Source organism: Homo sapiens, chromosome 6, assembly GCF_000001405.40.
Source record: "Homo sapiens chromosome 6, GRCh38.p14 Primary Assembly".
In the NCBI taxonomy this organism is placed as follows: Eukaryota; Metazoa; Chordata; class Mammalia; order Primates; family Hominidae; genus Homo; species Homo sapiens.
The window spans coordinates 14,256,673-14,279,463 of record NC_000006.12 but is presented as its reverse complement, the minus strand read 5'-3'; the positions used below and the strand labels follow the sequence as shown (position 1 = coordinate 14,279,463).

Sequence of the window (22,791 nt, the reverse complement as noted above, 5' to 3'; positions counted from 1 at the left end):
TTTTGTTTTGTTTTTTGAGATGGAGTCTCGCTCTGTCACCCCGGCTGGAATGCAGTGGTGGGATCTTGGCTCACTGCAACCTCTGTCTCCCAGGTTCAAGCAATTCTTGTGCCTCAGCCTCCCGAGTTGCTGGGACTACAGGTGTGCGCCACCACGCCCAGCTAATTTGTTTTGTATTTTTAGTAGAGACAGGGTTTCACCATTTTGGCCAGCCTGGTCTCAAACTGCTGCCCTCAAGTGATCCACCTGTCTTGGCCTCCCAAAGTGCTGATTACAGGCCTGTGCTACTGCACCTGGCCTCTTTTCTTATTTCTAAATCTACTAACAGAGGCTGTTGACTTAGCACTTCTGCCCAAGCTCCTTCAAAGGCAAAACCATGCAGGAGGTGGGGAAGGTGCCTAGAATAAAAGGATGTAACAAATACAAGATGAGGAACAAGTAATATCATTTTTCTTATTGCTTGTTAATTATAATAACTCAGAAGTTGAAGCTTAAATATGTCTCCTTATCTTTTTTTATTCTTCTTTAATTAGTTCTGTTCAGTGAGCACCCTGGTTGGCATGTGTAAGACGTGCTCAGGAATACTCAGCCAATGACACTATAGGATTGCCGGATTTAGCAAAACTGATGTTGTAAAGCCGCTTGAAACTTCTAACGTGTGTAGAGAATTGTATGCACTTTAACAACAGATACATTTTCTTTCCTCTCCTAAGCTGCATTTGTGCCCATCCATTCTTGACCACATGCCTGTATGGCTGCTGTTGCTAGGGAGCCTGGATGTGACAAAGGGCTTTACAGCTCAAAGATCAGAGGGACCAGGACGCTGTGAGCAGCTGCCAGTGGGAACCTGGGCAGCTAAATGCAAGGGGCACTTTCCCCTCGCTGGCAAAGCAGCATCTGGGGGCTGCACTGGTTCCTGCCCCCACCTTCCTCTCCCTCTCCTCCTCCCCGTCTTTTGCCCCCTACCTCTCCCTCCATCTCCTCCTCCCCTTCTTCGAACTCACCTGCCCACCAGGGGCTGGGTAGTGAGTGAAACAGGAGAGGGTGCCCATCAAAGTGGTTTGGCGAGTGGCTACTGCTCAGTATTGCCATATGCAAGGGGCACTTCTGATTTTTCTATATTTTTCAAGCTATGCCAGTTATCTGGGTGTTGTGTGAAGTCACCATATTATTATTATTTCTTTTGAGATGTAGTCACCGTATTCTTCAGCACTGATGACTAACTTGAGTCTTTGAAAAACACCGTGCAAGCTAAAGCAAATGTCTCTGTGGGCTTCCCGACTGCAACCTCTGGGTTAAGGGAAGCCCAGTAGGTGTTTCTCTTTCCTGTCCTACCACCCTGAAGCCTGCCACGGATTCATTCAACAAGTGTTTTTGGACATTGACTATGTGCCAGGCACTGTTCTGTGCTGGACATAAGGCAGTGAAAACTCAGATAAAATGCCTGTTCTCAATAGGCCACATTCACTGAGAGATGGACAGTAAACAAAATGAGTAAGAAGAAAATGTATACTATATTAGATAGTACACAGGGCTATGGAGGAAAACAAAGCAAGATGGCAATAGGAAAGGTGGTTTAGTGTCCACTTTTGAATAGAAAAATTGGAGAAAACTTCAGTGAGAAGGCAGCAAGTCAACAAGAACCTGAAGGAATAAGCCACCTAGAGAACAAGAGAAGAACATTCTAGAGAGAGAGAGTGACGGCAAGTGCAAAGGTCCTGAGGCATGTAGCAAAGGGACTGGTCAGCAGGAGAGGTGGGAGTGAGTGAGTGAGAGCAGGGAAGAGTAGGAGGGAGGCCAGAGAGATGGGGTGGGACAGCCCACTGAGCAGCCTCTGCAATCCATGAAACTGTGGGGGAATTCTGAGCAGAGCAGAAAGTTGACCTGGCATGTTCTCACAGGTCACCCAGGCTGCTGTGTTGAGAGCAGACTGCAGGGAGGCAAAGTGGAGGAGGGAGGCTATGACAGTGATCACAGCAATGGAGATGATGGCAGCTCAGAGCGGGAAGATAGCACACAGGTGGAAAGAGAATGGTCAGATCCATTGCTAGGCAGGCCTCAGGAAATACCAGGTATGGAATTTCCCATCTCCTGGATTTGTTTTAGTCACCTATCAAAAGTAAAATGTAGCATCACGTTTAAAGAATTTTCCACTTAAAAAACCAAAACTGTTCACTTAGCTGCCTTAAAACTCTTTGCTGCCTTGATAGTCTGGCTTCCTGTGCACGGAGAGATCTGTTGACTCTAGCAGGATGAGTTAAGTGAGATCACAAGACACAGAAAGAGGAATAGACAGATCTGAAAATAAGCACTGGCTCATGCACCCAGAACCTAAAGCAGACCAAAATAAACCACATCCTCCCACCACTTTATTTTTTTATATTTAAGGGTTTTTTTGTTGTTTAGCAAAGTATAATTTTAGAGGTGGCAACCAGTTTGAAAAAAAGATGAGCAGGAGGAGAAGGGAAAGAAGAGGACGAGAAAGAGGAGGAGGAGGACAAGGAGGAGGAAGAGCAAGAAAAAGAGAAAGAGGAGGAGGAGTAAGAGGAGGAAGAGAAGGAGGAGGAAGAGGAGGAAGAGGAGGAAGAGGAGGAGGACCCTTAGCCAGGAGCCCAGGACTCAGGAGCAGTGCTGGCCCTTCCCTCTGTCACGAGTGGCTGCATGTAAGGAGAATGAGAATTGCAGACTTGAGCTGTTCAGAACCTCAAAATGTCTCTAATTAGAGACAGATTCAATGTCTGCTATATGTGCTATGTGCCACAGCATTTCCTGTTAATTAAAAGTCATTCACAGCTCTGTGGGTTAAAGGGCCTATTCCATACTCCAGATACTCCTAAAAGTGCTTAGGAAGGGGTAGGAGGAAAGGCATGGCCCACCTGAAAATAGTCCTGCTTCCCCTTGAGACCAGAGTGACCAGCAAATCACCGTGGCAGGTGGCATCTTCTCCCCTCCACAGCAGAGGCTCAGGCACTCCATTAAAAAGGGAGGTAACTGTCATCTCTCAATTCCAGGAATTCCTTCATTCTCTGCCCACCACTTCACCTTCTTTGGGCTCCCTCTCTGGCCTGACCTCCCAGCAGCACCATGTTTAGGTTCTCTTATTTGCCAAGACTCCCTAATAAAGATGCCTTGGCACTCAGCCCATATCCCCTCCACACTTCCCTCGATGTCTGAGGCTGCTCACTGCCAACCCTGGCATTCTGCTTTTTGCCTGGTTTGGGGAACCTTCTAGGTCCACCTGCAGGGAATCCAGAGTGCCAGGTCACTGCCCAGAAAGCCTGCCTCAAGCAATCATGAGCAAGGAACTGTTGGATAATGCCCAGCTTCCTCGTCCCGTAGATGGATTAAATCCAAGGCATGTTCTAAAGTGTCTCCGGGAGCTCCCTGTGGGATCAAGCTCCAGGTGCCCACTGTGGCAAATGGCTTAATAAGCCCCCTTGCTTCCCTCCCTTATCTGTCTCCCTTCCCCCATCCATGCTTCCTGGCCTAACCTCCTAAATAAATGATTTGTGCTTGAAGTCTTGCCTCAGTGTCTGCATTCAGAAGGACCTATCTAAGACACCCATCCACCGCCTCTGACTTGTGCTTCCCCAGGAGAAAGTTCTGCCTGCCCAACTCCTCTGATCCTGCCCTAACCCCCACAGGCAGGGCCCTTCCAGTCCAGGCTAGGCTTCTAGAACAGCTCCCCAGCACAGCCTGGCACCTGCGTCCCTGCGCATCAGGGGCAGGCATTATTGCCTCCTCGCCTTCACCCCCACCCACCTCTGCTGGAGGCTCATGCTCCGTCCTGTCCCAGGAGCCATGGCTATGAGCAGGGTGCCCCTCACAAGCATTCTGCAGCCGCTGCTGCTGGCAGCTGTGGTTTCCTATCAGCTGCTGCGTGCAGGCTGAGGGAGACACTCCTGGGCCTCATCCCAGACTTCCTGGCTTTGCCAAGCTCGCCGCTGCTGGGATGAACAAGGGAGCCCGAGTGTGGAGCTGTGTAGAGTCCCTCCAGGCCCAAGAGCACACTGGGGGCTGCCAATCTCCACATAGAGCTGAAAGAGCTGGAAGCAGAGCCCCAAGGGTGGCAACAGAGGACAGTCAGAAGAGGATGCTCACTGGGGTTGCATCTGGAAGTCACTTATAATTTGGATATCTAATGGCAATGTGGCCTCTTCATGAGGGGCATGGCTGGTCAGGCCTGGGCAGATTGCCTACACGCCAAGCTGTTCTGGTTGATTCTTTGACCGGTTGCCATAAAGCGCCTTTGATCCAACCTTGACACTGGTGGGTTTCACAGCTCTGAGGGAGACACAGCCATCTGGCAGGCTATCCACAGTGGGAGCCCAGACATCAGAGGTTTCTGGAAACATCCGTGGGTATTTTTAGTGCCCCATTTCCCTCCCTTCTTCCCTGACAGCTCCTAAAACAAACCTCAACAAGCAAGGAGGTGCCTGTGTTTCTGCAGCTGGGGCCTCTCCGCCTCCACTCCTGACACCACGTGGGCTGACCTCAGCGAGCTTCTTGCCTTAGCTCTGCGATCAGCCTTTCCTAGAAGGCCCCTGACCCTGGATACCTCTGCCTATGTGCCTGATTCTCATAGAGGCTGGTCCACAGCAAAATAACTTGCAAGAGGACCAGGACGCATCTCCAGTGCCTGGAACACTGCCTGCACGTCACAGGTGCTTCATACAATTTGCCATATAAATGAATGAATAAAGTGACTCATCACTGAGGCTCAAAGCAGTACCCAGGCCAGTTGTTGAGACACGCACCCCAGCGTGGGCTCCGCCACTGCACTCTGCCTTGTCTTGCTGGTTAAACACGTTACTCCCGTTTTTCCCTGTGTAAAGTGGCATACAATGGAGGTTGTGCAACGGAAATGGTTTAGTTGGACTTTCTGAAAGAAAGCCAAATCTGGCAGAATCAGAGGTTGAACTTAACAGACTCTTTTCCTTTGACCAAAACTTTATCTAGGCTCCTCCAAGTCCTCTGCTTGATGGGGCCTGAACTTGGGCTTCCTTCTGTGTCCTCATAGAATCCAGTCTGAGCAAGAATTCTGCTCACTTTAGCAAAAATCCCCTCTTTGGTGCCTTACCACCCTTAATGCCTTATCACCCCGACCTGCCTTTTGCAGTAACTGATCAAGTCAGTTTAGCCAGAAACCCCTCATCCTTGATGTTTTCTCTTAGTCATTTTCCACCCCTGACCCCACTCAGCTCCCTGGTTATAAATCCCCACTTGTCCTCGCTAGAGTTGAAGTGGAGTCCGATCTCTCTCCCCCACCGCAAGACCCCATTGCTGTGGTCCCCATACCCTATCGCCATGGCTCCCCTTGAATAAAGTCTGCTCTGCCATTCTTAAGAAACTGAACCAAGAAAATTCTAGAAGACAGGAGCAGTCAGTTCAATCATCAACACCAGTGAGGCAGCAATGAAGATACAGAGGTGTAACGTGACTGGGAAGGAAGCAGACAGGGTTAGGGGACCAAGTGGGTGAGAGTGGCAAGTGACTGACAGCCTGGAGTTATGGGTGGCTCCAGATTTTTCTGGCTCAAAACTGGAGAATAATACCATTAACCAAAATCAAGAACATGTCAAGAATATGTAAAAGGGCACTTTTCCCTTAAGTACCACAATCTCAGCAATGGCAGGCTTGACTCCTAAATAATATCAAATCAGAAATTTCTCATTCGTCTATCTGAGCAATTTGATTGAGACCTGTAATACATCTTTGCTAAACCAGGCCACAAAATGTGTACCCGATCGATATATAATTCCTCAAATACCTATCTTGTTTTCACCTTCCTTCTAGAAACATACATGGCCTTTTTAAATACACACATTTTCTACAGAAATGCTCAGGGCACAGAGGGCTGGAGGTCACAGCCATCTAGGGATCTAGGGTGTGTTGCCTTCTGCAGGCTGTCACGGGGCTCATGTGGGCCAGAAAAGGCTTCTCTGGTCTGAAGGCAATACTTGGCATATGCAGAACGCCTGCTGTCAGCAGTTGCTTTTCAAAGGCGATGTTAATTCCAGCTCATTGTTCTACCCCATTTTCCATTCAGAGGCACAGCACGAGGTATTTGGCAGGCCATGAACTAAAGCTGCACATGTATTCCAATCTCTTTTGGGGTGGGTCCCGGCCTTGCTCCCACACTCTCCCTCTCTCCTCCCACTTTTAGTATTTCAACTTTCTTCCCCTTTTCATTTCTGCTTCCGACTTACATACTGCACGGGTGTGGCCTCGTGGAAAAGTAGATTGGTCTTTGGAAATAGAGCTATTCCCACAATAGGTGGAGATGTGGGATAGATTGGAATGATCCAAACGCAAATCTCAATCCAGATCCTGTCGATACGAGACCGTGGCTGTGGTGTAGACGAGGAAGGCTGGCAAACCCAGAAAGATCCAATGGACAAAGCTTCATCAAGCCCTTATCATGCCTGGCATTGAGGATGTAACAAAGAACAAGGGAGACCCCTGTTCTCAAGGAGCGTAGGGTCCAGTGGGCCATGCTAGGCCTGAGGTCACCTCCCTGAGAAGGAAGCCTTGTCACTGCCATGTTAGAGATGGGCAAGCTCAAGTGCAGAGCCATTACAACCTTCCTAGCAGCCAAGCCTCATTAGTGGCAAACTTCCAGGTCTACTGACTCTGCTCCCTCTATCACAGCTGCCCACTGGCTTAACAGTGGCATCAATACACCCATCCTGGATGACTCTATCCATGACTTGGAATGATCCTTATAACCTATTAAGCAGGAAACAAAATTAAAGAACCCAAATCCAGCTTAGTGCCAGTTTCTAGTGGCATCACCTGATGTGTTCTTTTTGCCTGCTGCACTGATAAAACCAATTCATTGAGACAGTGGTATTGCAGTAGAGAAAGGGTTAATAATTGCAGGGCTAGCCGAGCAGGAGGACAGGAGATATTACTACTCAAATCAGCCTCCCTCAGAACTCAGAGGCTATGGATTTTATAGATTGTTTGTTAGGCAGGGGGCTAGGGAATGGGGGCTGCTAATTGGTTGGGGATGAATTCACAGGAGTATGGAAAATGGTCCTCCTGTCCTGAGTCAGCATCTTGGTGGAGGCCACAAGACTGGTTGAGTCATGAGTCATGGGTCCAGGTGAAGTAAGTCGCCAGAATGCAAAAGTCTGAAAACTATCTCCAAAGGCCAATCTTAGGTTATACAATAGTGATGTTATCTATAGGAGCAATTGGGGAAGTCACAAATCTTGTAATCTCTGACCACATAATTCCTGAGCAGTGAGGAATTATAGAAAAGCAAGCTAGGAACAATGGCGGGTTATTGTTTAACTGTACCTACATTTTAGCAGAGTTCAGGCCCCTCCCATAACCATAATCTTTTAAACTTTTATTAGTTTTTCAAAGGTGGTTTAGTCCCTTAGCAAGGAGAAGGTTAGTTTTTGGGAAGGACTATTATCATTCTTGCTTCAAAGATAAACTATAAGCTAAATTCCTTTCATGTTTAGCTTGGCCTACACCCATGAACGAATGAAGACCAACAGCCTGTGAGGCTAGAAGCAAGATGGAGTTGGCCACACTAGATTTTCTCATTGTCATAATCTTTGCAAAGGAGTTTTAATCTCTAGCTTCCCTTTAAGTTCAAGGTTGAGGTTGCATAGAATAACTTGAAAAATTGGCCTATTATTCAACAACCTTTGTGATAAAGATTACCCCAGAGGGTGTGACCTTAACTCTGAAACATCCTATTATTCTAACAGAAAGGAGTTAGGCTCTTAAACCTGCTCAGTAAATGCCAGATCCAAATATTCTAGGAGGTGCATAGATTTGGTTACCTGGCCTCTCCTCTTGTTGAGTATCTGCTGTACTCCAATTACTACATCCATTTAATCACACTGTGACCGGACCCCACAGTCCAATCACAAGAATGAGTGGTTGGCAGTGTTATGACTAGGCTGTCCCAAAAGCCCTAGTTCCAAATTTACCAGGCAAGGAGAGCAGCAGGAAGACCAGCTGCAGAGGGGATTGACTTTCTTCCACTTGGTCAGGAGGCCGGCACCTTTGAAATTCAAAGGCACTTCCTTAAAGCCAAAAAAAAAAAAAAAAAAAAGCTAGTCCGGGTCCTTCTGATCAGGGAGGATGTGGAGGACGGGTGTGAGTCAGCTCTCCAGGCAGCTGCTGTGAGCTGATGGAGCTTGGGTGGAACCCACTGAGACACCGCACTCCAAAGCACCTACCGCCCAGTGTGGCTAGTGTGGGAATGCCAGTGCATGCCATCCTGCCTTGGGCTTCTCCAAATGAGTGACTGCTTGGCACCAAAGGCAGCACGTCACCCACTGGAGGGCTGAGAGGCAAAGCCACAAGCGATGACAGGCCCTAAAGGAAATAGCGTCACCATAAGCCAGACTGGAACCTTACCAAGGGTGCAGTCTGGAAAAAAAACCCAGATGCTGTGTCAGCTCAGCCACACCCAGCCACAGGAGAGCTGGAAAGGGAAAGATTACCTAGAGAGGTGGGGCAGCTTGGCGCTCTGCAGGGGAGAGAACCAACATCAGGCTTTGCGTTGACCTCAGTAAGAGCTTGTCCAACAAACAGGCCTTGAGTAAGGTGCACCCAGGTTGGAATGTGGGTCCATGACTCCTGATTGTGTGGCCTTGGCCAAAGAGTCTTGGCTCTCTGAGTCTCAATTTCCTCAAAAGTGACAAAAACAAACTTCAGAGAGTCACTGTGAGGATTTAATGAGACAATATGTGCACACACACACACACATGCCCCTAGGACAGTGCCTGACACATAGTAGGTGCTCAATAAATGTTAGTTCTTTTGTCACACCCTGCATCCTACTCATTCATTTGTGAAACCACTCGGAGCAGAGATCCCTGACAGAAAGACCTTCATTTATAGGATAAATGTACTAAGTTCAAGTCTGAATCCTACCCATCCATTTAGAAGCAAGAATAGAAATAGTAATTCCACAGGCCGCCCAGATGTGTGCATCCTTCCTTCCCAATGCATCACTGCTGGTTTTCCCCAGCATTCGCCAGTGCAGTGGAGACCAGAGTTTCAGAGCCTTCCACACTGTCCACTGAACAGCCCCACCCTTGCGCTCAGGCTTTCCTTTCCTATAGACCACCCTGTGAGAGTCTTGGTGAGCCCTGGTCTTCTTTCTGCGCATGGTGTGCCTCCTGTTACCCTCTTCATTCTCACCTCCCTCATCCCCCAATCCTCCCCTCCAGGTCCAGGCTCTTTTCACCTGCTAGGAAGCTGACCTCCTGTTGTCCACCACAGCTCCTCCCCCTTGGTGGAGCCCAAGCTCTCACTCTCCAGGGAATTCTCCATATTGACATTGCCCATCAGGGAGGTCTTGAAATTACATCTCATTTATGTTTCCAAGTGTACGCAGAGCCCATGACTGCCTTCCTTCCTTTCAATCTTTCCAAAATTAAAAAAAAAAAAATTATATATAAGCAGCACAAATCACCTAGCAAACCATGTTAGCAGGAATCTGCGATTCCTTTTTACTTAGACACTGCTGGTGTATAAGTGGATCCTTAGAAAAGGAGAAAGCTAGGGAGTGTCAGGAGGAAGAAGTTGCCCAATTCTCTGCACATGAGAACATCTAGAAAAAAGTAGAGTGGTAGAGTCCTTCTCCCCACACCTCTCCTCCAGCCTGTGAGCTTTGTCTCACTAAAGAAAAGGAGTGAGGGGTGAATAGGAAAGCTACCTTGGGAAGCCAGGGAAGGCAGGCCCCTCTGTCTCCACCCCAGGCACCTCACTTGAAGCCCTGAGGGAAATGAAGCTCTCTGTTTAAAGAAGCAGCATTTCCTCCACCTGCACCTCAGCTATCAGTGAGGGAAGAGAAGCAGCACAAAGAGTTGCAAATTCCCCTCGAGGTCAGGCAACCTCTAGCTTACACCGGGGCAGCTTCCTCAGCTCACTGCCATCCCCCTACAGCAAACCAGAAAATTGAGTGTCTCTCTTTGAGGCTGCCATGGTCCCTGCATGTGAATACACCCAATAGGAAGCCTATCCATTAATGTGAGATTGTGTCCTGTGACCTGGACATAAAATGGGAATGGTGGCATCATTCCAAAATGGCAGATTTGGCACGAGCCTTGGGCCTTGGTTCTGCCACCATTGTTATAATAGACAGAGGTGACATAGGACTGGGTCTCACCTCTTGGTGGATCAAAGGGTTTATTCTTCACTGCTGTTGGCCAAGGGCACATGGGAGTGTAATGGGCTAAATGGTGGCCCCCAATAAGATGTGTCCATGTCCTAAATCCCAGAACCTGCAAGGGTGACCTTATTTAGAAAAAGGGCTTTGCAGATATAATTAAGGATCTCGAGATAAGATCATCCTGGATTATCCAGGTGGGCCCTAAATCCAGTGATAAGTGTCCTTATAAGGGTCACAAAAAGAAGAGACTCATGGAGAAGAGGAGAGGCCATGTGAAAACAGAGGCAGAGATTGGAATGGTGCAGCCACAAGCCAAGAAATGCCTGGGGCCACCAGCAGCTGGAAGAGGCAAGGAAGGATCCTACCCTGGAGCCTTTGGAAGGAGCATGGCCCTGACAACACCTTGATTTTGGACCTCTGTCCTCTAGTACCACGAGACAATAAATTTCTTTACATTAAGTCCCTATGTTTGTGGTAGTTTGCTACAGTAATCCCAGGAAGTTAGCACAGGAGTAGGACAGATTTGTCCATCAGAGATTTGCCCATCAAGAGTCCTCTTTTTGCCTCCACAAACACCCCTTTCTTCTACCTCCTCTGCTCTGTACAGCTACACAGGTCCCCGAGTCTCCAATAGAACTGGAAGAATTGTGAGATACTTTGAGGTATGGTATGTTATTCAGTTCACTGCGTATGGAATTAAAGCATGAAGCAGTCCTTTTCAGGAGAGATATGCAAGCCCTCAGCATAGGGCGTAGCTCAGCATCAGTACCCAACCAATGAATATCCTCCTTCTCCTCCCCTCCAACACTTCTCCCCATTGGATGGCAAGCTCTTGTCCTGTCTGGGCCTAGTGCTTCAGTGACAGCATCAACAGGGCTGCTGAGAAAGCCTGGGAGTGTGTGCTGCACCAGGTGGCTGGCCAAGGGGGACATGGGAGCTGAATTCCACCACGCCCCATTCACCAAACCAAGAGTAGACATTTTTTTTAAGAGACAGGGTCTTACTATGTTGCCCAGGCTGGTCTCAAACTTTTGGGATCAAGCAATCCTCCTTGGCCTCCCAAGTCGCTGGGATTATAGGGGTGAGCCAACATGTCAGGCAGCCAAAGACTACACTTGACAGCCCAAAGTTAAGTGGGTTTTTTGTCAGTTTGCCCAGTTGAAGATGTCGTCTTTCAAAATCAAGGAAAGATACTATCGGAATGATGAAAAAAAATTTGAAATAGACTGTAGTAATGATTGCACAACACGATGCGTGTCATTAGTGTCATTGAATTGTACACTTAAAATTGTTAAAATGATGAATTTGGTGTTATATTTCTCACCACAATTATAAAAAGGTTAATACTGCAATATACCAAACTCATTGACTTATACACGTTAAGTGGGCAAATTATATGGTATGTGAATTATATCTCAATAAAGCCATTTTAAAGAATGCAAACAAATTTTTAAAACACATTTTTTTTGAGAGAGAATTTTGCTCTAGTCCCCCAGGCTGGAGTGCAATGGCGTGATCTCGGCTCACTGCAACCTCCACCTCCCGGGTTCAAGCGATTCTCCTGCCTCATCCTCCCAAGTAGCTGAGATTACAGGTGCCCGCCACCACACCCAGCTAATTTTTGAACTTTTAGTAGAGACGGGGTTTCGTCATATTGGTCAGGCTGGTCTCAAAATCCTGACCTCAGGTGATCCACCCACCTCTGCCTCCCAAAGTGCAGGCATGAGCCACCACGTCCAGCCTTAAAAAACACATTTTACAAAAAGAAAAAACTTAAGACTCCTATTAAACCCATTCCGTGAAAAATTTTTTTTTCAGAAGCTGTGTGTGCTAGCAGAGGCTCTCAACACCAGGCTTGCTCTGTCTTTCACTGGCCATTGACTGGTGGAGTCCAGCTTTTGGTGGCTGTTCGATGCAGGAGATGATGTTCAGCCACACATAGAAACCTCCGTGTTGGAATGCTGATTCTCTGGTCACTCAGCTCATCAGTCAGGCTGCCCACCTCTCAGACTCTAACCGTTAAAACTCCCATTTTCTCTCTTTTCTGTGTCCTAAAACTCGATGTGCAGGCTTTCTCTTTGTCTTTCCCATCTTAATTGGCACATCCTGCATTTTCCAAACCAACTCTTCTATTTCTGGTTTCCCATTAAGGCTTTAGCTTTGCACTGCATCATGCCTTTGATGTTTTGAGAGCTGTGAGCAGGTTCATAGGATGTTTTGAAGGAAGGAATCATTAAATAGCAACAATTTTCAGTACACTCTCTATTTGTACATAAAAAGTACAGGTAGACACAAAGAAACAGAAACAACTTGTCAATTCACCCCCTCACACTACATTGGGAAAGATAATCTAGAATTCCTGACACACTGCATTTGCCGTAAACGCAATATGAAAGCAGATTGGAAATACTTGCCTAGCGATGACAGAGGAAGTAGGTCGGAAAAACGTCTTATGGATAAATGGGTATCTATTTTTTGTGGGGAGGTGCCATGTCCAGATAAGGGTGTGTATTGTGATTAAATTTAATACTGGTGTAAACACTCTGCAACCTGCCATTTTCTCAGTTGGATTTATGATTTGTCCATATAAGACAATCAGCAAAGAGTGGCAGAGAGGCGTAGGAGTCTAGAGGGAAGTGATTAGGGCTAAGAAAAGAGGGAAAATTAACAACAGTCTCAAAAAGGTAACATCCTACCACACATAACAGGTAATGTTTGGGAAGAAGATGTTAAGAGATTGAGAAAAAGAAGAGATACTGTAAGAGCAGTTGTAAGCATGTTTTATCTGATTCTAATTTTTAGAAAGTTAGCAATTTGCATACTGCACCTGTATTAATCAGACACTTGACTGAGCAGAGGCTTCTCATTCCTTTACTCTATCAAATTGTCTAGAATGACACTGGGGGAATTGACTCTGATGTTCAAATAAGTAGCGGGGAGGAAAGTCTAAAGTCACCACTCAATAAAATAATTTGGCACTTTTATTAGAAAATCGTTATATTTACCAAAGGAAAACCTCATTTTGACTGGAAACACAGAAAAACCAAGCAAGTAATTTCAAAGCCTGCATGGGGAAGATGAAAGTACATATCTGTCCCCAAAGAAAGCCAAGCTGAATAGGTAAATCCAGCTCCCAATTATTCCATTCTAGGTGGATTATACAACAGTTTTGCTTCGATTTGTGTTTCTGAGTGACTGTTGTTTGGCACTGCTAGTTGGCTATGCAAAGGCCATTTTGAACTACTGAATATTCACTTTCCAGTGTCCTCTGTATCTAGGCGTGTCCATGTGACATGGTTTTGACAAAGGAGACATCAGGGTTTGCTGAGGGTGGGAGCTGGGGAAAGGAAGGCTTTCCTTTCCGATAAAAGAGACAGGTGGGACATAGCGTGAGCTATACTATCTCTTCCCCCTTGTTTCTGTACTGCACATGGTCGTGATGCTTTGAGCTACATAGCCATTTTGTAACTATGAGATGGCAAAGATAAGGGACAAAAAGCCAATACTAAGGATGTCACAGCGATCAGATAGAAAACATCTGGCTCCCTGATGATTCAACTGAGCAGCTGAACCAATACCAGCCTCTACCTACCTCCCAATTTCTTAATCAGAAAAGCTAGTGCCTATTGATTTAAGGTACCATTGGCTGGGATTTCTCTTACTTGCAGCCCAAAGAATTCCTAAATGACACACCATGTAGCAGGAGTCCCAAGGGGCCTAAAGCAAGAGCTAGAATTGTGGTGTCTGAGTAATGAATGTCACAAGCAGCCTGCAGGCATCTGTTTGCACTTACAGAAGGTTGATGACAGGGGCCTAGGGGCAAGACACAGATGGAGGGGACAGCATGGGGTCTGTTTCCTGATCAGAACCCATGGACTAGGCTTTGTCTGTGGAGAGAGTGCCAGCAGGCAGGAGTAGTTGAAAATCCAAGGGGTTTTGTGTGAATGGGGGCACAAGCAAAACTGCTTTAGACTTCTGTCATGAAATACAGCACACAACTGCGCCCTGTGTCTGTGAGGAGCTCAGTGTGGCTCAGGTCCAGTTGAGATAGGAGAAACTGCAGTACCATTTGGTCACCAGAAGGGCTTCCATAGTTAGCACCCTGGGCAGAGAATGGCCACTGATTGGGTATAGGACATGCTATCCCCAAATGTGGCACCTTGGCATTTAAGAAAACAGCAGAAGCAGGAAAGGAATTTTCACCTTTCCCACTGCCCTTCTTCCCTGAGGCAGGTCATGAAACCTGGGAAGGATTTTCTGACCTTCTCCTGAAGCAGATCATAACAGCCTCATATGAAAGAAGCTCTCCCTATACTCAGAGGAAAATAACATTTTTTTCTTTTCTTTCTTTTTTTTTTTTTGTTTTGAGACAGAGTTTTGCTCTTGTTGCCCAGGCTGGAGTGCAATGGCGTGATCTCAGCTCACCACAACCTCCGCCTCCCAGGTTCAAGCGATCTTCCTGCCTCAGCCTCCCAAGTAGTTGGGATTACAGGCATGTGCCACCACGCCTGGCTAATTTTTGTATTTTTAGTAGAGACAGGGTTTCTCTATGTTGGTCAGGCTAGTCTCGAACTCCTGACCTCAGGTGATCTGCCTGCCTCAGCCTCCCAAAGTGCTGGGATTACAGGCCTGAGCCACTGCACCTGGCCCAAGAACATTCTTATCTATGAGGACACAGGGACACAGAGAAGAATCTAAGCAAACAGGCCTTGTTAAATCCCCCCCAGTTTATTACCATTAAATCATACCCCTTTGTCCAATTACTTTCTCCATCACTGTCAACTCTTCATCACATCTAGCATAAAAATACACAAGCTGAACTGTTTCTTTGGAGCTTCTTTTTCTTATGAAGGCTCCCATGTTACATAAAACTTATGGCAAATAAATCTATATGCTGTTCTCTGGGGCCTCAGTCATGAACCTAAGATAGGAAGGAACGTGTTTCTTCTCCCTTATACCACAGTGAGGCACTGCCTTGGGCCCTCAAAAGCACTGGACATCAGTAAGAGGGCAGACCTTAAAGATGTGGGTGAGAGATGGCTGCCCAGCAAACAGCAGGAGTGGAATTGCTGAGTCTTGTGGTATATGTATGTTCATATACCACAATGAAGTAGATACCACCATATAGTTTTTGTAGTAGATCCCATCACATAGTTTTTCAAGGTGTTGTTTTTCAATTCATACTGTATAACACCACAGCACATAGTCAGGATATGAGAATTTCAGCTGGACCTCACATCTTCACCAACACTGAGTGTTGTTGATCTTTTTAATTTTAGCCATTGTGGTGGATATGTAGTGTTGTTGTTACATTATGGCTTAAATTTTCATTTCCCTGAAGACTAATGAGATTTAACACCTTTCCACATGCATATTAGCCACTTGGATGTCTTCTTTTAGAGGTGCTCAACAAGGATTTTTGCACATTTATCTATTGAGTCATCTTTTTCTTACTGATTAATAGGATATCTTTATCTACTCTAGATAGGAGACTTTCCTCAGAGAGATGTATTGCCAATATCTTTTTCCTACTGTCAGGCTTGACTTTCAGTCTCTATTAAGAGACATTTTTGTGAATAGACATTCTTATTTTTTATGTAGTAAAACTTATTAATCACCTATTTTATAGTTATTATCCTTTTGTGTGTGCCCTGCTTAATAAACAATTTTTCACTTTAATGTTATGAAAGAGCCCTATTATTAAACTAGAGTTTGAATTGTTTCAGCTTTCATATTTATATTTGTAATTTTCCTGGAACTAATTTTTTAAGATATGATGTAAGATAGGAATCAATATTTTTTTCATACGTATATTTCACTGATTCAGACTATTAGGAAAAAGGTCATTTTTTAAAAAATGCACTGCTATGTTAACTTTGGCATAAATCAAATAACTTTATATGAATGGGTCTATTTTTAATAATTTCTTCTGATACTTTGCTTCATATTTATATTTTACATGAATACTATGTTCTCTTAATTACTGTAGCATTATAATCTCTCTTAATATTATAAGCCATCTAATTTTATTTTCCTATTCAAGGAGAATGTAGTTATTATTCTTACATTTTCATACACATTTTATAATCAGCCTGTCACTTTTCCCAAAAGGAAAAAAAGCAAAAAACAAACAAGGTATCCTAAATTCTTAATACTTAGATCAGTTGGCTTTATTATAATATTGAATCTCTAATCCATGAACATAGTCTATTCCTTCTTTATTTGACCTTCCGTAATTTCTTTCATAATGCTTTCCTGCAGGTTTTTCATTAGATTTATTCTAGGCATTTGCTATTTGGGGATCCTATTATAAATGGTATGATTTTATTTTCTTTTCAATTGTTGTTAATATATAGGAATACAATTTATTTTTGTATATCAACATTGTATTCAGTGACTTTGCTGAATTTACTTAACGATTCTAACAGTTTTGCTATAAATTATTTTGTCTCTTTCTAAGCACACATTCATGCCATTTACAGATACTGATAGTATTGTACCTTCCTTTTGAGACTTCAGAGTTTTTTTTTTCTTGCTGTACTTTAGGACAACGTTGAAGAAACGTTATCCAGGAATCTTGACTAATTTCTAATCTCAAGGGATGGCTTCTGTATTTTACCTTTAAGCATGGTGATCGCAGTAGATCTTTTTAAACAGATGCTTTTTGTCAGATTAAGGAAATGTTATTTTCATTTTGATAAGTAAAGATTTTATCAGAAATGTATATTGAATTTTATCAAATGCTTTTTCTACATCTTTTGATATAGACACATGGTTTTTCTCCTTCATTCTATTAATGTGATAAATTACAATTGCTGTCTTTTGATTATTAAGCCAATCCTGTATCTCTGGAATTAACTCAGATTGGTTGTAATTTGTACCTTTTATAAATCACAGATTTGATTTGCTAATATTTTGAAAAATAATTAAAATTTACATTCATGGAAGAGATCAGCCTGTAATTTCTGTCTTGTGATTTCCTTGCATTATTTTGAACTATATTTGGCTTTACACATTTTAAAATGTCTTTTGTTTTCCTATTTCTGAAAACTGTATAAAATCAGTTATTTATTTATTAAAGTTTGAAAAAAATTATTGGTGAAACCATCTGGGTCTGGAGTTATCTTTAGGGAAAGGTTTTTAATAATGAATTCAATTTTAATAGCTATTGAGCTATTCAAAATTCCTGTTTCTCTCTGTATTAATTTTGATAAGATCTATTTTTATAAATTATGAAATGTATTGGCATGAAGTTATTGAAAATATCTTCTCACTTTTTTAATGTAAGGAGATTCTGGAATAATGTCCCTTTTTTCATCCCTAATGTGATAATTTATGTGTGGTCCCCACGCTACACACACAAATATTTAATACATAGTCTTACTAGGGGGTAATACATTTTATTAGTCCTTTCAAAAAAACAACTTTTAATTTTGTTGATTTTCTCTGTTATACATTTGTCATCTATTTCATTAAATTCCTATTTCTACTATATTAGGGTTTAATTGTGTTTTATTTTCCCAAATTCTTCGTATGAATATTCACATCATTATTTTCAGCCTTTTTTCTTTTCTAACATTTGAGGCTGTGCCCTTCCTTTAAGCACATATTTTAATAGGCCATATTTTATCATCATTTCATTCATTTTTGTGATTAATTTCTAGTTCAATTTCACTGTAGTCAAAGACTATGATTTTAATAGCTTACAGTTTGTTGATACTACTTTATGGTCCAGCACATAATCAATTTGGAAAACGATTCATGTGTACTTAAAAAGAAGGCATGTTCTGTACTTGTTTGGTGAGTCTCCTATGTATTATAATAATTCAACTTGCTAGGCCTGTTGTTCAGGCATTCTATAGCCCTCCTGACTTTTTGACTGCTTGTTTATCATTTACTTATACTGTTAAAACCTCCCACTATGATTCTGGAATTTTAAACACATCATTTTATCATCTTCTGACTTCCATCGGTTCTTTTGAGAAGTTCGGTGTTAGTGTTGCTCCTTTGAAAGTAATGTCCTTTTTAAAATCTGATTACTCTTAAGATTTTTTTCTGTCTTTCATTTTTAGCAGTCATATAGAAGACCATGAGATATCTAGATGCATTTGTCTTATGTTTACCTTATCAGTGTTTATTAAGCTTCTAGAATCTGTGTCTGGATATTGTTTTTCTGTTCAGGGAAACTTTGGGTATTATCGCTTCAAACTTTGCTTCTGTTTCATTCTCCTTCTCTTCTTTGCTTCTGGGATTCTAATGACAGTCAGGGACTCCAATTCCACATATGTTAGGCCTTCCCTGGACACCTCACAGCCTAGAAAAGGCTCAGAGGCCCCAGCTGCCCCAAGGGAACACACCTGTTGGCATGCTCACAGCCCACCTTAGCATGTGCCTCCTTGGGAAGTTCTTTCACAAGGTTTCTGTCATGGGCTTCACCCAGGTCAACCCTTTATGTTTCTCCCTAAACACACTCTGGGATGCCTCTTTGTGCTAAAGACAGTTCTGTTCTTTCTTGTGTGAGCCCCACAATGCAACTTGCCTTTAAACTTGGGCCCAGAAAGAAGACTCCCTGAGCAACTGGGGAGGACCCCGGGTCTAGGCTTTGTGTTTGTCAGCTTCAGGCTATCTAAGTGGCATACCAGGAAAAAAAAAAAAAAAGTAGAATTAGTAAGGAGAGCAGAATAATGCAAATTTGGAGTTTAATAACTGTATGTTTTTCTCCATGGGAGGATAGGGCACCATAATCCCTTTTGATCCTGAGTAGAGTCTCATCTTGGTCTTTAAATGATGCCAAAAATAATTTTATTTTAAAAAAATTCTTGCCTTAACCATCTTCTTCTCCAAATAACAGAAAAAGCAAGCAAATTTTACATACTGTGTTTATTCTTCCTTGTGTCCTCCTTGTAATAATCCTATGATACAGATTCATTATCTCTATTCAGAATGGGAAAAACAGGCTCAAGAAACAGAGGCAGTAAGTGGAATAGGCAGGGTTTGAACTCAGGATTGCCTGTCTCTTTTCAAGTCTGGGCACTTTCAGTGCTACAAAAATCCCACCTCCCTTAGTTCTCTCCCTTTCCTCTCTACGCTCTATTTTTTCTTCCATCAACACATTCAGTAGATCTAATAAAAATCAGGTGACACAGGACAAGCATCACACTGCTGCAAGCTTCCCCACGTAGATCTGACTTGGATTTTAAAAAGATGTCCGTGGAGGGGCACACAAAGAGCTCTAGCTTGTCTCTCTCGTTATCAGGTTTTGATGCTTTTGCTTGAATTTGTGACAGCTGTGTTGCTGCAGCTTCTCCTCCGATTCTCTCACCCTTTCCCTTCTCAGTGATTCAATACAATTTCTGTGTTTGTGATCTTCAGGGGAGCTGTTCTTTTTTTCATGCAACAATGAACCTTCAGGGAAGGCAAGAGCTAAGACACTTGTTTAATAAAAATGGAGACACTTTTTAACAAAGCAAGCAAGAGGAGAGAGGAGTTAGGGTCACAGATGGCCTAAAGAAAGCGAGCTCTGGCCCGGGAGTTGGTTTTTTTGTGTGCTCAGAAGCCGCTGGAAGTGTGTGCTCACGTGCTTGTGTGCATTTTGCTGGCTGCAGTCATGAACATAACCAAAGAAGGGGCTGGGTGGATTTGACAAGGGTGGGCAGAGGAGGAGGGGTCCTCAGGTGGAAGGCAGAGATGGGGGCTGTGTCTGTGGCAGAGCTTGTAGCTGTTTGGGAGCATGCTGATTGACACATGATTCCAGGCAGGCCATCACCCATGGGCGCATCATCCTGCCATTTAGCCTTAAGAGACACTCTGCGCTTATTCGTGTGGAAGGCCTGGCTCGGGCAGGCCGCCACAGCCATCAGCCGTCATCATTCCAGAGGCCTGTCACACGGCCCAACACCCACCACAATTCCCAGGAACTTGAGAAACACGAAGTTGCTTTTCAGCATCTCAGGATCTGTGGAGGAGCCCAGCACCTCTTGGCTCCTTCCTGGTGCTCCTTCTGCCCCAGCTGCCCACCGGAGCCCCTGTGCCCCTGACAAAACAGAAAGCCCTCGCCGGTCCCCAGCAGCCAGAGACTGGGATTCTGTTTTACACTGCAGTTCACTCCTAAGTCAGGTGTGAGGGTTGGGGCTGAGGTGAGGCTGGTAATCAGCTAGGCAGCCCTGATTGCATCTTAATAACAAATGCAAAGCACCCAGAGCAGCAATTTGCAGTAATGGGAAAAATCAGCAGGTCCCTGGGATTTGACAGGAAGTAAACACTCTCCAGGCTCAAATTTGGGGGAGAAAAAAATATTTATAAGAGTACCCTGGCACTGCTTAGAGCTGTGGGGGCAAGAAAGTGGAAGAAGAGATTATAGCTAGACTGAGGGAAGGGAGGCTGAGGCCAGAGCCTCAGGGTAACTTCACCCTCCCTCCTCCTCCTCTTTCTCCTCCTCCTCTTCCTCCTCCCCCTCCCCAGTCCCATCCCTCCCCTCTCTGCCTCCCTGTGTGAGAAAGAATATCACATTCTCTTCCTGTTCCTTCTACCAAATACCCACCGGGAACAAATAGAAAAGACCCCCACCAATAAAAACTGGCCAAACAAGCATACTCAAGTCAAAGCAGCCCTGGTTGAGGTGTCCTCAGGTAAAGGCTCATTTTTGCCCACCAGCCTTTTTTTTTACTGTGCACACACTGAGCCAAAGCGGGGCTGGAACCTCATCCATAAAATATCCCTGTCCTGCAAGGAGATTTTTCTCTTATCACCTCCTTGGAATGGAACGGAATAGTTATCCCCATTAGAAGGTGAAATGTTTTTCACAGTGTCAATTTTTCTTCCTCTTTGAGAATGTTCCCCCCACTGAACACATATTTTTCTTACATGTAATTTGATTTGGATGGTTTCTTGACCTGCATCCAAATCGAGCCGTGGGTAATTATTACTGTCACTATTGTTATTAATACTGATATTTATCATAATCTCACAAATGGCAGGGACAGCCCTTAATCTTGCTATTTAATTTGGTTGAAAGGAAAATGTGAGGCCCTGGCCTCCCTCCCAGTTTATTCTCTTTTACCAAATTCCTACTATGTGAATAATTAGCCCAGTTTCCAGTGATCTGGAGTCAGTATATCTCTGAATTGCATTCAGAGGATAAAGTAGGGTGAAAGTGACAAGAAGTCAGATTTATCTCATGAAAATGAGAAACTATCTAATTGTTAGACGTCTCATGAGGTAGTAAGCTCCCCATCACCAGAAATATTCAGCTAGAAGCCGAAAGGTCGTCTGTTAGGTGTCAGGTATGCTGTTTTAGAAAGGGATGAATGAGGACTGTGGTTCTCACATTTTAGTTCTATCAGAATCACCTGGGCGGCTTGTTCTCTGATTTCTGAGTCCCACTCAGGGTTGCTGATTCAGTGAGTCTGAGGCAGGGCCCAAGAGCTTGCATTTCTTTCTTTCTTTCTTTCTTTTTTTTTTTTTTGAGACGGAGTCTTGCCCTGTTGCCCAGGCTGGAGTGCAGTGGTGCAATCTCGGTTCACTGCAACCTCTGCCTCCCGGGTTCAAGAAATTCTACTGTCTCAGCCTCCCAAGTAGCTGGGATTACAGGCGCCTGCCACCACACCCAACTAGTTTTTTGTATTTTTAGTAGAGACAGGGTTTCACCATGTTGGCCAGGCTGGTCTCAAACTCCTGGCCTCGTGATCCACCCGCCTCAGCCTCCCAGAGTGCTGGGATTACAGGCGTGAGCTTGCATTTCTAACAAGTTCTCTGTGCCTGCTGGCTGGAGGGCATGGGTACTTCAAGAGCCACTGAACTAAGGGGAAGGTCAGTCTAGGTCATTTAAAGATTTCCTCCTACTCTAAACTTTTATGATGCCATGTGTGACACTATGATTTTATATGTGATTTTATATATGTGTGTACACACACACACGCACCCCCATATTGATTTTCATCTGCAGTTCCTGAATCATAACACCCATAACCCTTATTGCAGTCTTTTGTTATAATGTTGGGGTGCTTTAGACCTCAGAGATGGGCCTCTGGAAATATAATCTCTCTCTCTGACCTTTTCCTGTCCTCCTTTTACCTGCCCAAGGCAGGACTCTAATCTGATTGTGGATCAAAAAGACCCTCATTCCAGAGAGGGTCTTGCCCCATATCCTAGAGGAAAGAATGCTATGCAGAGAGACCAAGAAAAGTCTGAACAGACAGGCCTTGCTGGGTTTAGATCATGGGCTTTTTATCCAGGCACATTTCTACACGGTTGTCAACCATGCCTATGTAACGTCAATCATGCCTATCGGAAGCCTCCAGAAAAACCCAAAAGGACAAGGTTCAGAGAGCTTCTAGAGAGCTGAACATGTGGAGGTTCCTGGAGGGTGGCACTCCCAGGGATGACACCTGGAAGCTCCACGCCCCTTCCCGCACACCTCTCCCTGTGCTGCTCTTCATTCATATCCTTTATAATAAAGTGGTAAACACAGGTGTTTCCCTGAGTCCTGTGAGCTGCTCCAGCAAGTTAATCAAATCCTAAGAGGGGGCTATGAGAACGCCAACTTGAAGACAGTAGATCAGAAGTTCCAGAGGCCTGCTCATGTCACAGATGTGTGAAGTGGGGGCAGTCTTGGGGACTGAGTGAGCCCTCAACCTGTGGAATCT

General features: G+C 44.4%; 5 annotated features.

Annotated features, from left to right (window-relative positions):
* Positions 5,600 to 6,513: an enhancer, noted in NCBI's record as "OCT4-NANOG hESC enhancer chr6:14273182-14274095 (GRCh37/hg19 assembly coordinates)". NCBI's record gives its function as "activates a minimal SCP1, AML or CMV promoter by ChIP-STARR-seq in naive and primed H9 embryonic stem cells {active_cell/tissue: H9 hESC(naive and primed)}" and the evidence as "EXISTENCE:reporter gene assay evidence [ECO:0000049][PMID:30033119]".
* Positions 7,784 to 8,983: an enhancer, noted in NCBI's record as "P300/CBP strongly-dependent group 1 enhancer chr6:14270712-14271911 (GRCh37/hg19 assembly coordinates)". NCBI's record gives its function as "activates an origin of replication core promoter dependent on BRD2, BRD4, P300/CBP, MED14 and CDK7 cofactors, with strong dependence on P300/CBP, by STARR-seq in HCT116 cells {active_cell/tissue: HCT116}" and the evidence as "EXISTENCE:reporter gene assay evidence [ECO:0000049][PMID:35650434]".
* Positions 8,349 to 8,493: an enhancer, noted in NCBI's record as "145 bp enhancer 158 fragment used in the MPRA reporter construct; PK_construct_3811". NCBI's record gives its function as "activates an SV40 promoter by MPRA in HepG2 cells {active_cell/tissue: HepG2}" and the evidence as "EXISTENCE:reporter gene assay evidence [ECO:0000049][PMID:23512712]".
* Positions 8,416 to 8,426: a transcriptional cis regulatory region, noted in NCBI's record as "NFE2L2 motif; enhancer activity is reduced when this motif is scrambled". NCBI's record gives its function as "necessary for full MPRA enhancer 158 activity {active_cell/tissue: HepG2}" and the evidence as "EXISTENCE:site-directed mutagenesis evidence [ECO:0005528][PMID:23512712]".
* Positions 13,754 to 14,285: an enhancer, noted in NCBI's record as "NANOG hESC enhancer chr6:14265410-14265941 (GRCh37/hg19 assembly coordinates)". NCBI's record gives its function as "activates a minimal SCP1, AML or CMV promoter by ChIP-STARR-seq in naive H9 embryonic stem cells {active_cell/tissue: H9 hESC(naive)}" and the evidence as "EXISTENCE:reporter gene assay evidence [ECO:0000049][PMID:30033119]".